This window comes from Homo sapiens, chromosome 20, assembly GCF_000001405.40.
Source record: "Homo sapiens chromosome 20, GRCh38.p14 Primary Assembly".
Taxonomy (NCBI): Eukaryota; Metazoa; Chordata; class Mammalia; order Primates; family Hominidae; genus Homo; species Homo sapiens.
Window position 1 is genome coordinate 34,767,580 of NC_000020.11, and position 14,324 is coordinate 34,781,903.

At 41.9% G+C, this 14,324-nt stretch overlaps 1 protein-coding gene across 36 annotated transcripts in view; it reads right to left on the reverse strand.

Annotated features, from left to right (window-relative positions):
- Positions 1-14,324, reverse strand: part of NCOA6 (nuclear receptor coactivator 6) — a 110,878-nt gene that overhangs the window by 52,806 nt on the left and 43,748 nt on the right. For all 36 annotated transcript variants that reach the window (XM_047440068.1, XM_047440055.1, NM_001438234.1 and 33 more), the window contains 2 exons: positions 8,714-8,869; positions 885-1,007 (listed from right to left, as the gene is read on the reverse strand). In XM_047440068.1, coding sequence (XP_047296024.1) covers positions 885-1,007; positions 8,714-8,869 — 279 coding nt within the window. The remainder of the gene's footprint in view (positions 1-884; positions 1,008-8,713; positions 8,870-14,324) is intronic.

A 14,324-nucleotide genomic window follows, 5' to 3' on the forward strand; every position in this document is an offset into this window, starting at 1 on the left:
CCAATCGTGCCCGGCCAAGACTAGCATCTTATAAATTGAGCTCCTCTATACTGCTGCATTTCTCCAACAGCTACTCTGGTAGAGTGGGAGGGGAATGACTGGGTAAGCAGGTTCTTACTCTGCTTCAACCACAGCAGCTGTGCTTTTCTGTTTTATTTGAATAAAGGGTCCTGAAGCTGAAAAAATTGGAAAGCCACTAGTGCAGTGAAAAAAGCACTGAACTGGGAGTTAGAAGATCTGTGATACTAGTTTATCGCTCCTTGACCCTGGGCAAATCACTTCCTTTATGTGAGTTCCACAGCTTCCTCTGCTTTAAATGACAGCCAACTCAATTCTAATATTCTGAGATTCAATCTCAGAATATTGAGTTCAATCTCTGAAGAAGAAATTTCAGGATTACTAGAAAAGGAAGCAATTTATAACTCTCAAATTCTAAATACATAAAAACACATATTCTCTCAGATACATCTTCAGATTCCACATAAGCACACAAGAACTCAATTCACAGATATTCTCTGCCTCAGAGAAAGTGGGAGTTGGAAAGCTACATTCTCCATTGTACTATTAAAATAATGAGGGTAGAAAATGTCTCACTTATTTCTATTTCCAACAGCACAGGTCATGTCACACAACAGGAAGTCAATAAATGTTTGCTGCATGGCTCAGTGTTCATCAACCTTTAAGCACGAGACCAAAAGATTGCAAAGATGCTTCATGCTGTGACCTCTAGCCTCCGGGAAGGACTCATGTCTAGCTTTCCTGATTCAGCAAATAGAGATGTTAAGTATGCCATGAACCCCCACCTATCTTGCAGGGCTCAAATGATCAAATAAGCCAAAAAAGGAAACTAGTAAAATGTCATACAATTGAGTGGGAGGTCTTACCTGGACCACTTGCCATAGGAAATCCCGCCTCCATCCTAACTGAATTTCCAGCTCCCATGGGTCCATTCATTCTCACATCTTGGCTTCGGTTCTGAGCCAAAGCCAGGTTAATAGCACCTTCCCCTGAAAATGAGTCAAGTGATAAAAAGGAAATCATTAGAATAAAATGCAAATTTTGTTTATAGACAGCTATATAAGTGCTTTAGTTTTCTGTGCTTTTGAAGAATTATGGTTAGTTTACCACCAGAAAAATGGTGGGTTCAATGTAGATGGGTCTTTCTTCAACCCATCTAAGCAGGTTTCATGAAGCACAAGGAGATATAACCAATTCTTACTTGTAATAGGGAAGCAGGGTGACCATGAATGATGCTTAGTATCAACAGAGATCCTGGAACTCTGAATATTTATTTTCAACCATCTTACCAATTGTGTGTGTGTGTGGGGTGTGTGTGTGTGTAATGGAAGAAAATGTTCTCAAAAACTCTCAAAATCCTAGACTTCCTTTTGGTAATTTATGATCAGAAGGTAGACACTAAATATAAGTAGGTTTAAAGAAGAAAGAACCTATACTGGTGTGGGGACACTAACACTTGTGAACAAAATACCAATTCCATTCAATAACTGCAATATAAACATATTTCCAGCAGGAAAAAAATCATGCAATGAAGAGGAGATAGGTTGCTACAAATCTACTTTCTGAGACACCTAATGACAGGACCAATACTTTTATAGGTTTTTGTTTTCTGAGATGGGGTCTCACTTTGTCACCCAGGCTGCAGTGCAGTGGCACAGTCATATAGCTCACCACTACCTTAAATTCCTGGGCCCAAGGGGTCCTGCTGCCTCAGCCTCCTGAGTTGCTGGGACCACAGGCGCACATCACTATGTCCGGCTACGTATAGGATTTTTTTTTTTTTTGAGATGGAGTCTTGCTCTGTCACTCAGGCTAGAGTGCAGTGGTGTGATCTTGGCTCACTGCAACCTTCATCTCCTGGGTTCAAGGGATTCTCCTACCTCAGCCTTCCGAGTAGCTGGGATTACAGGCGCCCACCACCACGCCCAGCTAATTTTTGCATTTTTAGTAGAGACGGGGTTTCACCACGTTGGCCAGGCTGGTCTCGAACTCCTGACCTCACGTGATCCACCCACCTCGGCCTCCCAAAGTGCTAGGATTACAGGCGTGAGCCACGGTGCCCAGCCTGCATAGGATTTTTAATTTTACCTTATTTGAGCTTCACAGTACCCTCATAGGTAATGTTACTAGAAGTGTTCCAATTAAGTAGACTCTAAACTTAGAGGCAACTTAAATCTTACTTGGTCCAATGATAAAAACGTCTCTGAAACAAGCAACAGAATGTTTCTTGCACTTAATCCAAAATTTTGACTATTGTTATTGTAAGAGAGCACCACCTTGTGGAGAGTTAAAATATAGCTAGTCTGTGGCTGCTGAGCTGAAAGGCTGCACTCACCCAAGTCCTTCTAAACTGTAGGGTTCTGATTCACAGGGTCTGATGGTAAAACAGAAAGTTAATGAGGTATGGCAGTTTCCTCTGTTCTGTCACTGATCTAGGTCAGCCTTCCTTTTTTTTTTTTTTGAGATGGAGTCTCGCTCTGTCGCCAGGCTGAAGCGCAGTGGTGCAATCTCGGCTCACTGCCATCTCCACCTCCCAGGTTCAAGCGATTCTCCTGCCTCAGCCTCCCGAGTAGCTGGGATTACAGGCACGTGCCAATACAAGCAGCTAATTTTTGTATTTTTAGTAGAGACGGGGTTTCACCATGTTTACCAGGATGGTCTCGATCTTTTGACCTTGTGATCCGCCCAAAGTGCTGGGATTACAGGCGTGAGCCACCATGCCTGGCTAGGTCAGCTTTCTATGTCTATTTTAACCAGGGAGGTTCACTGGTCACAGGGAACAAACAGCCTACCAAAAAGGAAGCAATCACTGGGAGCTACCAGATGCTATAGCTTGCCTCTAGAAGTCAGGCGTAAAAAGAGAAACAGAATACAGGTCATGAGGGTTTCCATTAAAGGAAGGGAACTATTAATATACAAAATTTGTTAAGACATTCTAAGTAGAAAGAATATTGTTCTGGAAAAGGACATCAGTTCGTATCATTCCTTAAAAACAGTTCCATTGCTTCCCACTAGTTTAGAAATAAAGGCCAAACTTCTTTTTTTTTTTTTGAATCGGAGTGTCTCACTGTTGCCTGGGCTGCAGTGCAATGGCGCGATCTCGGATCACTGTAACGTCTGCCTCCGGGTTCAAGCGATTCTCCTACCTCAGCCTCCCGAGTAGCTGGGATTACAGGTGCTTGCCACCACGCCCGGCTAATTTTTGTATTTTTAGTAGAAACGGGGTTTCACCATGTTGGCCAGACTGGTCTCGAATTCCTGACCTCAGACAATCCGCCTGTCTTGGCCTCCCAAAGTGCTGGGATTACAGGCATGAGCCACCGTGCCAGGCCAGGCCAAACTTCTTAGCCTATACAAGGCCTTAAATTATCTACCTAGCCAAGTGTTGTTCAACAGAAATATAATATGAGCCACATATGCAATTTAAAATTTTCTAGAAGCCACAGTAAGAAACAGATGAAATTATCATTTATTTTACTTAATACATTCAATGTATTATTTCAACATGTAATTAATGTAAAAATTATTATTATTTTTTGAAACAGGGTCTCACTCTGTTGCTCAGGCTGGAGTGCAGTGGTGAGATCACAGTTCACTGCAGCATTGACCTAACTGGGCTTAAGTGATCCTTCCCACATCAGCTTCCCAAGTAGGTGGGACTACAGGAGTATGCCAACATGCCTGGCTAATTTTTTTATTTTAAATTTTAAATTTTTTGTAGAGACAGGGTATCACTATATTGCTCAGGCTGGTCTCAAACTCCTGTGCTCAAGCAATCCTCCTGGCCTCAGCCTTCCAAAGTGCTGGGATTACAGGTGTGAGCCACTCAGCCCAGCCAATGTAAGAATTATTGAGATATTTTACATTCCTTTGGGGAATACCAAATCTTCAAAATGTAATATGTATTTTATACTTACAGCGCACGTCAGTTTTAACTAGCCACATTTTCAGTGCCTAAAAGCAACATACAGTCTGTGGCTACCAATATTGGACTGCCCATATTTAGCCCTGTCTACCTCTTTAAACTCATCTCATGCTATTTTTCTCCTTCAATAGCAAGGATTCAGCCCCAGTGTTTCCTTTTAGTTTCTTAGGCACACAAGGCTGCTTCTCACCCCAAGGCCTTTGCTCATGCGGTTTCCTCTGCCTAGAACAGTTCTCTGCACTCTTCGCATAGCTAGCTTCTCAATTTTCATGTAATCTTAAGTGTCACATGCCCAAAAAGGCCTCTACCAACCATCTTATCCAAGGTTAGGTAACTTTTATCAGAACATCTTGTTATTTCTGCAGAGCACATTCCATGTAATCATTCACTCACTCGTTTTCTTGCTTGCCTCCCCCATCACTATACAGGGTTAATTACAAGTCTGTCCTTGTTCCTTCACATCTGTTGTTCCAGCATAATTAATAGCATTCTCTTTCACTTTCAGAAATGTCCTAATTTAGGCTAGGCATGGTGACTCACATTTGTTAATCCCAGCACTTTGGGAGGCCAAGGTGGGAGGATTGCTTCAGACCAGGAGTTCAAGACTAGCGACATGGTGAGACCCCGTCTCTATAAAAAATTAGTCAGGTCCGTGGTGGCACGCACCTGTGGTCCTAGCTACTCAGGAGGCTGAGATGGGAGGATTGCTTAAGCCCAGGAGGCCGGGGCTACAGTGAGTTGTGTTTGTACCACTGCCCTCCAACCTAGGCAACACAGTGAGACTTTGTCTCAAAAAAAAAAAAAAAGTGTCCTAATTTAGATGATAAATTATATGACTATCTATAATACATCATTTATACATAAAATAGTGCCTGGTACGTGGCAGATGCTCATTAGCTATTTATTAAATATAATGGTCATCTTATAACCTTATAAAGAATTATAAGCATTTTTCTATATGACAAATTACTTCCTGGAAAACCTCACATTTATCAAATCTCATACTGACAATAACAGGGTTAGGGCAAACTGAAAACCTGTGAGACTTTGTAACCAGAGCTCTAATAAAAACAATAACTGGTGGAGGCAAAATGCCAGAAAAAAATGCAGCAGAAATGCCTGGTTAAAGGTGCTGAGATAATGCACATGTAGTGGAGTTCTGAGCCAGCGGGGCTGCCATTATGGTGGGCACAGGAAGAAATGCAACCTGTCATGAACTGAGAGCCACACAAGGCTGGGGGATGCACGTCAGGAAGGCATACGAATATACACTCTCATTCTTAATTTTAATAGAGCTGAAAAGACTCCCACACATGCAACAGCTGAGTGAAAAGCTTTTTCTTGTTGATAATTATAATTCTATTTCTACTATTCCAGCTCCTCTTACCTAAGAAAAAAAATCACATATTAATAAACAGAATTTCCACACTATACTGCTATCATTCCCCTATTTACCAACTGCATATATGCTAATTTGTGTCAAAGAGAACACTACCGGCTCCCAAACTTGCCAATTAGGGGTCCACAAACTACGTCCTGTGGGCCAAATGCAGCCCACTGCATGTTTATTTAAATAAAGTGTTACTGAAATCCTGCCATGTTTACTTGTTTACATATCGCCTATGGCTGTTTTTGCCCTACAAGATGGAACTGAGTACTTGTTGAGTTGAGATCTTATGGCCTGCAAAGCCAAAAATATTTATTCTTGGCCCTTTACAGAAAAAGTTAGCAGACTACTCTTTAGATCACCATGAATTTACAGAGGGGGCACAAAATGTCCTCAAAAAAGATGTTTCCCCAATTCCCTGGCCAAAACTTAAAAAAGGAAGGGTACAGGAAGTATTTGTCAATGGAGAACGGACTGTTGGGAGAACCTGTCCCTCAAGCCTTGCAGCAGACACGATAGTGGCAACATTGCTTCATTCCTTCTTTTTTGTTGTTGTTGTTTTGAGACAAAATTTTGCTCTTGTCGCCCAGGCTGGAGTGCAGTGGCGTGATCTCGGCTCACCGCAACCTCCACCCAGGAAAATTTTGCTCGACACCCAGGCTGGAGTGCAGTGGCATGATCTCGGCTCACCGCAACCTCCACCTCCTGGGTTCAAGCAATTCTCCTGCCTTAGCCTCCCGAGTAGCTGGGACTATAGGCACGCCCCACCATGCTCGGCTAATTTTTATATTTTTAGTAGAGACGGGGTTTCACCATGTTGGCCAGGCTGGTCTCAAACTCCTCCCCTCAAGTGATCCACCCACCTTGGCCTCCCAAAGTGTTGGGATTACAGGTGTGACCCACCGTGGCTGGCCAACATTCTTCTTACAACTTACAAAATCAACAGCCCAGTTCCACAAAAGCAATAGCTGCTGCCATCACTTTCACTCCTGCTGAATTCCCAGGAGCATGGGAACAGAGATCATCTGGGACACACATGTAGCCTAAAAGTTAAAGAACTCTTTCTGTATTGTGATAATCATTGTCATATGTGAATTTCATAATTTCTTAAAATATGTTATCTATTTGCTTCCTTGCTAGTACTCATGTTTAAATTTATGGCTATAATGTTAAGGGAGAACCAGCATTATATTGTTTTAGGAAGTAGGTCTGCTTAAGAAATAAAACTGGTACTTCTTTCTCCAGTGAAAAACACTATCAATTAAGGTTTTGAAGCCTTTAAATAGGTAACAGAGACCAAAAAACATGTGGGGTTTTAAAGAAACCACTTATGTATTCCTTAAAGTATAAACAGCCCACATATTGTTATTTTATCCAATAGTTGTTCGACTTCCACTTTTCCTAATAGTTCATCCTACAGATTGCTGTGAATTAATTGTACTTTTCTGGATCCTTTTAGATAGTTCCACATTTTTCAAATTAAAGTGGTATTGCTTAAGCCACTATTCTCTCATTTATCAAATGGTGAAAATTATCCCATTTCTCAATCTACATATAACCCTTTCTAAATAATTTGTTTGTTGGTATTGCCCCTTTGAGGGCACAGCAACCTACAATGCTAGACTGCATAAAATGTGTCTCACTCCTATAAACAAAATGACCTCGACTGCTCAGGTTTCATGGAGCAATTAGGTTCTACGTAAGCACAGGGCCAGGAGGACCTGGACTAAAGTGGAAGGGAAAGCTGGAATTGCTGGTTGTCACCTGGCTGTATCAACACAGGAGGGGAAGAGAGGGTTCTAGTTCACTGAGCTTCCAAAGAGCTCCCCCACACATGGTAGGTACTTACATCTCTCACAGGTTTGTCTTCCTTACTAAAGTCATAAGCTCTTCCGAGTTTATAACAATAAGGACAATATTTATCATTGTATTCCAAATGCTAAAGCTTATAGTCTATGGGGATAAAACAATAATCAAATAATTGCTCTATGAAAGTGTGAGATAAATGATCTGAGGGAGAGAAACAAACTTTTGTGAGAGCACATAGCAAAGGACTCTGACTTGCCAAAGGAGTTCAGAAAATACATCCTCAAGATTTAAGCTGATACTTGAAGGCTGAGCAGGCATGAACTAGGGGAAGGGGGTTGGTAGGGAATAGTATTTCATTTAGAGAAGACATCAATGCAAAGGACCTGTGGCAGGAGGAAGAGAAAGCTGAGAAGCTGGAACACAGGGGGCAAGGGAGGAAAGTTACACAAGATAAGGCTGGATGAGGAAGGTAGAGGTGAGACCATGCAAAGCCTGAGGTCATGGTAAGGAGTTTGGTCTTCATTCTTTGAATAATACCAAGAGATAGCAGGATTTTAATCTAGGGGTGTAGGGTTATAGGGGTGTAGGTGTGTGTGTGTGTGTGTGTGTGTCTGTGCGTGCGTGCACGTGCTCATCAAATTCTCATTTTGAAAAAGATCATTCTGGTAAAAATACTGAAAATGAACACTGCGGGCCGGCGTGATGGCCTGTAATCCCAGCACTTTGGGAGGCCGAGAGGGTGGATCACCTGAGGTCAGAAGTTTGAGACCAGCCTGGCCAAGACGGTGAAACCCCATCTCTACTAAAAATACAAAAATTAGCTGGGCATGGTAGTACATGCCTGTAATACCAGCTACTCAGGAGGCTGAGGCAGGAGAATCACTTGAACCTGGGAGGTGGAGGTTGCAGTGAGCTGAGATCATGCCACTACACTCCATCCTGGGACTCTGTCTCAAAAAAAAAAAAAAAAAAAAGAAAAAAAAAAGAAAAGAAAATGAATGCTGCTACAAAAGGAAAGGACTGTTGAAGGCTTCATAATCTGTTAGACGAATAAAGAAAATACTAAAGTTTATTTGGTGGAAGGAAGGAAGCAAATTAAATTATATGTTAAGCTGGGTACAGTGGTATAGGTGTAGTCCCAGCTACTCAGGAGGCTGAGATGGGAGGATCATCTGAGGCCAAGAGTTTGAGTCCAGCCTGGGCAACACAGAAAGACACTGTCTCTAAAAATAACAACAATAACAAAGAAAACCACACAACTAAATAAATAAATAAGACAAATCAATTCCTGGTCAGGATGCCAATAAAATCAAAGTCTGAAAGACTGATGGTCAAAATTAGCCAAAGGAATGGAGTCCAAGGCTACAGATGCTAAAGACCATCAGGACCCAGCAATAACCTCAGTCAGTCCCTCTTCATCCTAAGGTGCTGCAAAGCAAAGTACAAGTTACATGAGTTGCTTGGCATTCTGAAACACAAGAGCAGAGGAACAGACAAAGCAGCACAGAAAATCATGCTATATTCTACTGTTGTAATGATTCTGGTCTAGATGGGCACATGGCAAAGTAAAAGACCTTCAATCTGAACGGAGAGAATCCCTAAATCCCGAAGCTGCTGGTTGTTGCTCTGAGCAAGGATCCGTAGCCGCTCCGCTGCTTCCCGGGGGATGTTGAATGTCACACGCACGCTGTTCCAGGGCTCCACCTTCTGTACTTTTAGCTTGCTGGACTCTTGATTGTGAAAGAAAAAGAATTATATTAATAATCTTTTAGCCACCAGAGGAGATGGAATTAAAAAACAAACCAAAAGAGCAAAAGAATAAGGTGGAGCACCAGCTTGGAATAGCTAACAGAGCATATGCTTTGGAGCTACAGACTCAAATCTAATCCTAGCTTTGCCACTTAGCACCTGGGTGACCATGAACGAGCTATTTAACCTTTCTGAAACTTATCTTTTTCTTTTCTAAAACTATGAAAAAACTACTTCATATGATTTTTGGGTACAAATTAGATAATATATGCAAAAAATCTAGCATAGTACCTGGCACACCACAGGCAATGAACGGAAAGCCGTAAGATGGAGAAAGGACCATAAGAAAGAAGAGAGAGGTTAAGTTTAAATTAATAGAATAGGCTCATGCCTATAATCCCAGCACTTCGGGAGGCCGAGGCAGGTGGATCACGAGGTCAGGAGTTCAAGAATAGCCCAGCCAACATAATGAAACCCCGTCTCTACTAAAAATATAAAAATTTGCTGGGCATGGTGGCATGCACCTGTAGTCCCAGCTACTCGGGAGGCTGAGGCAGGAGAATTGCTTGAACCCGGGAGGCAGAGGTTGTGGTGAGCCAAGACTGCGCCACTGCACTCCAGCCTGGGCAACAAAGTGAGACTCCGTCTCAAAAAAAAAAAAAAAAAAAAAAGGTAAAGGACAGTTCTCCAGAAAAGATACACAAATGGCCAATAAGCACATGAAAAAATGCTTGACATAACTAATCATTAGAGAAATGCAAATCATAATGATAAGATACCACCTCACCACCATTACCATGGCTACTATCAAAACCACAGAAAATAAACAATGGTGAAGATACGGAGAAATAGAACCTGCGGGGCACGGTGGCTCACACCTATAATCCCAATAATCCCAGCACTTTGGGAGGCTGAGGCTGGTGGATCACTTGAGGACAGGAGTTCGAGATCAGCCTGGCCAACATGGCAAAACCCCGTCTCTACTAAAAATACAAAAATTAGCCAGGCATGGTGGTGCACACCTGTAGTCCCAGCTACTCAGGAGGCTGAGGCCAGAGAATCGCTTGAACCCAGGAGGCGGAGGTTGCTGTGAGCCCAGAATGCACTACTGCACTCCAGCCTGGGTGACAGAACAAGACTCCGTCTCAAAAAAAAAAAAGAAACTGGAACCCTTGCGCACTGTCAGTGGGAATGTAAAAGGATACAAGCTGCTGCGGAAAACGACAGTTTCTCAAAAAAAATTAAAAATAGAATTACCACATGATGCAGCAATTCTACCTCGGAGTACACACTCAAATGAACTGAAAGCAGAGTCTCAAAGAGATATTTGTACACCATATTCATAGCAGCATTACCCACAATAGCTAAGATATGGAAGCAACCCAATGTCTACTGACAGATGAATGAATCAGTAAAATATGGTATATACATACAATGGAATATTATTATATTATTATTTGAGACGGAATCTTGCTCTGTCACCAGGCTGGAGTGCAATGGCATGATCTTGGCTCACTGCAACCTCCGCCTCCCAGGTTCGAGCAATTCTCCTGCCTCAGCATCCTGAGCTGGGACTACAGGTGCATGCCACCACGCCCAGCTAATTTTTGTATTTTTAGTAGACACAGGGTTTCACCATGTTGGCCAGGATGGTCTTGATCTCCTGACCTCATGATCGCCCGCCTCGGCCTCCCGAAGTGCTGGGATTACAGGCGTGAGCCACTGCGCCCAGCCACAATGGAATATTATTAAGCCTTAAAAAGGAAGGATATCCTGCCACATGAATGGGCTTTGAGCATCTTACGCTAAGCGAAATAAGCCAGTCACAAAAAGGCAAAATTCCACTTATATCAAGGAAGTAGAGTAGTCCAAAATCATAGAAACAGATAGTAGAATGGTGGTTTCCAGGGACTAGCAGCAAGGAGGAAATGGTGAGTTGTTATTCAATGGTTAGAGACGTTCAATTTTTTTTTTTTTTTGAGACGGAGTCTCAATCTGTCGCCAGGCTGGAGTGCAGTGGCGCAATCTTGGCTCGCTGCAACCTCTGCCTCCCGGCTTCAAGCAATTCTCCTGCCTCAGCCTCCCGAGTAGCTGGGACTATAGACACCTGCCACCATGCCCGGCTAATTTTTGTATTTTTAGTAGAGACGGGGTTTCACCATGTTGGCCAGGATGGTCTTGATCTCTTGACCTTGTGATCCACCTGCCTCGGCCTCCCAAAGTGCTGGGATTGCAGGCATGAGCCACCACACCCAGCCAGAGATGTTTAATTTTACAAGATGAAAAGAGTTACATCCTGGCTAACACGGTGAAACCCCATCTCTACTAAAAAATACAAAAAATTAGCCTGGTGTGGTGGCGGGCGCCTGTAGTCCCAGCTACTTGGGAGGCTGAAGCAGGAGAATGGCGTGAACCCGGGAGACGGAGCTTGCAGAGAGCCGAGATCGCACCACTGCACTCCAGCCTGGGTGACAGAGCAAGACTCCGTTTCAAAAAAAAAAAAAAAAAAAAAAAAAAGACAAGACAAGACTTAGGGCGACACATGGTGGTGATTGTTGCACAACATTATGAGTACATTTAATTTCCACTAAACTGTATACTTAATAATGGTTAACATGGTAAATTTTATGTTACATGTATTATACAATAAAAAATACTTTTTAAAAAAGTTAAGTAATTGAGGAGGTATTATTAATTGTAGTTACATTTTACAGATTGGAAAGCAAATCCCAGGCACAGTTAGCTGATAAAAAAGTTATTTGGCTGCGTGCAGTGGCGCATGTCCGTAATCCCAGCACTTTGGGAGGCCGAGGCGGGCAGATCACTTGAGCTCAGGAGTTTGAGATCACCCTGGGCAACATAGTGAGACCTCATCTCTACAAAAAATAAACAGAAAATTAGCTGGGTGCAGTGGCGTGCGCCTGTAGTCCCAGCTACTTGGGAAGCTGAGGTGGGAGAATTGCTTGAGCCTGGGAGATCAAGGCTGCAGTGAGCTGAGATCATGCCACTGCATTCCAGCCTGGGTGATGGGGTGAGACACTGCCTCAAAAAATAAATAAAAAATAAAAAAAGTTATTCAACAACCTCAGGCAAAACAATTTTCTCTTTTGTTATTAACTCAGCTAAACTTAAACTTCTGTATCCTTCATTCAGTTATACATTCTAATATTAAGATAATGGTCATTCAACACCTGTGAAAAGAAGGAAAAAAGAGATAATGGTCATAGAGGAATATGCTTTCTCAAAATGAGAAATATCTAAGGATAGAGGAAAGTGCCTACATGTTGCCTAAAGCCCCTTCCAGCTCTTAAACCATTGTACATTGAATGTTAACTTTTCCAGACATGGAGTTCACTTGTTCTAATGTGGAAAAAAAAACAGGGAAAACTTGCTAAAAGGAATGAGATAACACAATCATAGGAATTTAGAAAAGATTAGACAATATTTAGTCCAAGACCATTTTACAGGAGAGGAAACCAAGGCCCAGAAAGGCTAAGTGATTTGCTCAGAAGCCTGTGGCTAACCAGTAGCATCAGAGATGACATTAAAACCCAGCTCTGATTCTCAGGGCAATTTCCTTTCCATTACATGTAGGCCTCCAAACAGCAAAAGGCAGGAAGTTTGGGGATCCTGGTTCCACCAATCATAGACACTGCAGGACTTCTTCCCACTCTGAAGTATGTTGGAATCTTGTACATATTCTACACAAACATCAAATTTGCTTATGGTATTAACACTTGTAATATGCTTGCAGAAAAATCCATATTCATAACAGTTATATCTTATCAAAATCTTTTTAAACTTCCATATTTGAGAGATTTGACTTAAAATATTTTTTGGACCAAGAATATAATCTGATAGCACCATAAATCTAGAGTTGGTTATTTTTTATTTATTTTTATTTTTTTGAGACAGAGTCTCGCTCTGTCACTCAGGCTGGAGTGCAGTGGCATGATCTCGGCTCACTGCAACCTCTACCTCCCAGGTTCAAGCAATGCCTCAGCCACCCGAGTAGCTGGGATTACAGGCACCTGCCAGCACGCCTGACTAATTTTTGTATTTTTAGTAGACAAGGTTTCACCATGTTGGCCGGGCTTGTCTCAAACTCCTGGCCTCAAGTGATCCGCCCACCTCGACCTCCCAAAGTGCTGGGATTACAGGCATGAGCCACTGCGCCCACCTTTATTTATTATTTATTTTTTTTAGACAGGGTCTCACTCTGTCACACAGGCTGGAGTGCAGGGGCACTATTAGAGCTCACTGCAGCTTTGACCTCCCTGGGCTCAAGTGATCCTCCCACCTCAGCCTCTCGAGTAGCTGGGACTACAGGTGCATGCCAACATACCCAACTAATTTTTGTATTTTCTGTAGAGATGAGGTCTCTCTATATTGTCCAGGTTGGTCTTGAACTCCTGGGTTCAAGTGATCCACCCAACTCAATCTCCCAAAGTGCTGGGATTACAGGCATGAACTACTGTGCCTGGCCTAGGTTTGGTAATTTATTTGAAAGCCATAAATAAATTGAATTAGCAATATGTAAACAACAGAAAAATGTGGTAATTAATGAAGAGCAATGAACAATTTCAGGCCCAGCAAGACCTTTATAATATATAACTATGATTATGGTTACAATGATGTTGATAACTACATGAAAAATTCTTAATTGTATGCTAAATAACGCATAACTATGGAGAACCTTGTACAACACAGTGAAAAGCAGTTGAAAAAACAACAGCTTCCGTCCAGATAACAAATCTCAAAAGATAAAACCCCCAAGCCTTAAAAGAAAGCTAATTAGCTCTTGATCAATTTAGGATTTGTGATAAAAGGAATAAATCTAGGCTTTTCACTATGTCCGAAGGGATTAGATAATTGTGCTAACTAGAATAGAGAACATCTAAATCAAGGTTCAAAACCACAAATGCCCGTAAGATATGGACAGGTAATCTAAATGTGTGAAGAAGCCAGATGGGAACTGTGGTGAAGTGGGGCTGCTCTCAGAAGCAGCTGCTACTTCGTACCATCTGGGAGAGAGGGAGAACTCAATGTTATCAGATCTTCCTATTTTTAAAGACAAATGTAAAAATCCGGATTTTCATGCAATATAACTCAATTTTTAAAGCACTGGCAATGAAACTCAAACACTGAAAACAAACTAAATCTCAAACACTAACGTGGGCCAAATAACAAATGCCTGCAGACTGGATCCAGCAAGCTGTTAGCTAGTGACTTCTGACATAAAAGTTAAAGGAATAAATTTAAAGTATATTATAAGCAGATTCATGGAATAATAAGTTTTCTAAGCTTTAAGGGTCCTTAAAGATTCAGTTTAACCTTTTCAATTTACAGGTAAGGAAAATGAAAACCAGAGAGTTAAAAACAAATAAATTTGGGTCTTGAGAATTACTTTTATCCACTAGAGAAGATTATTCAACA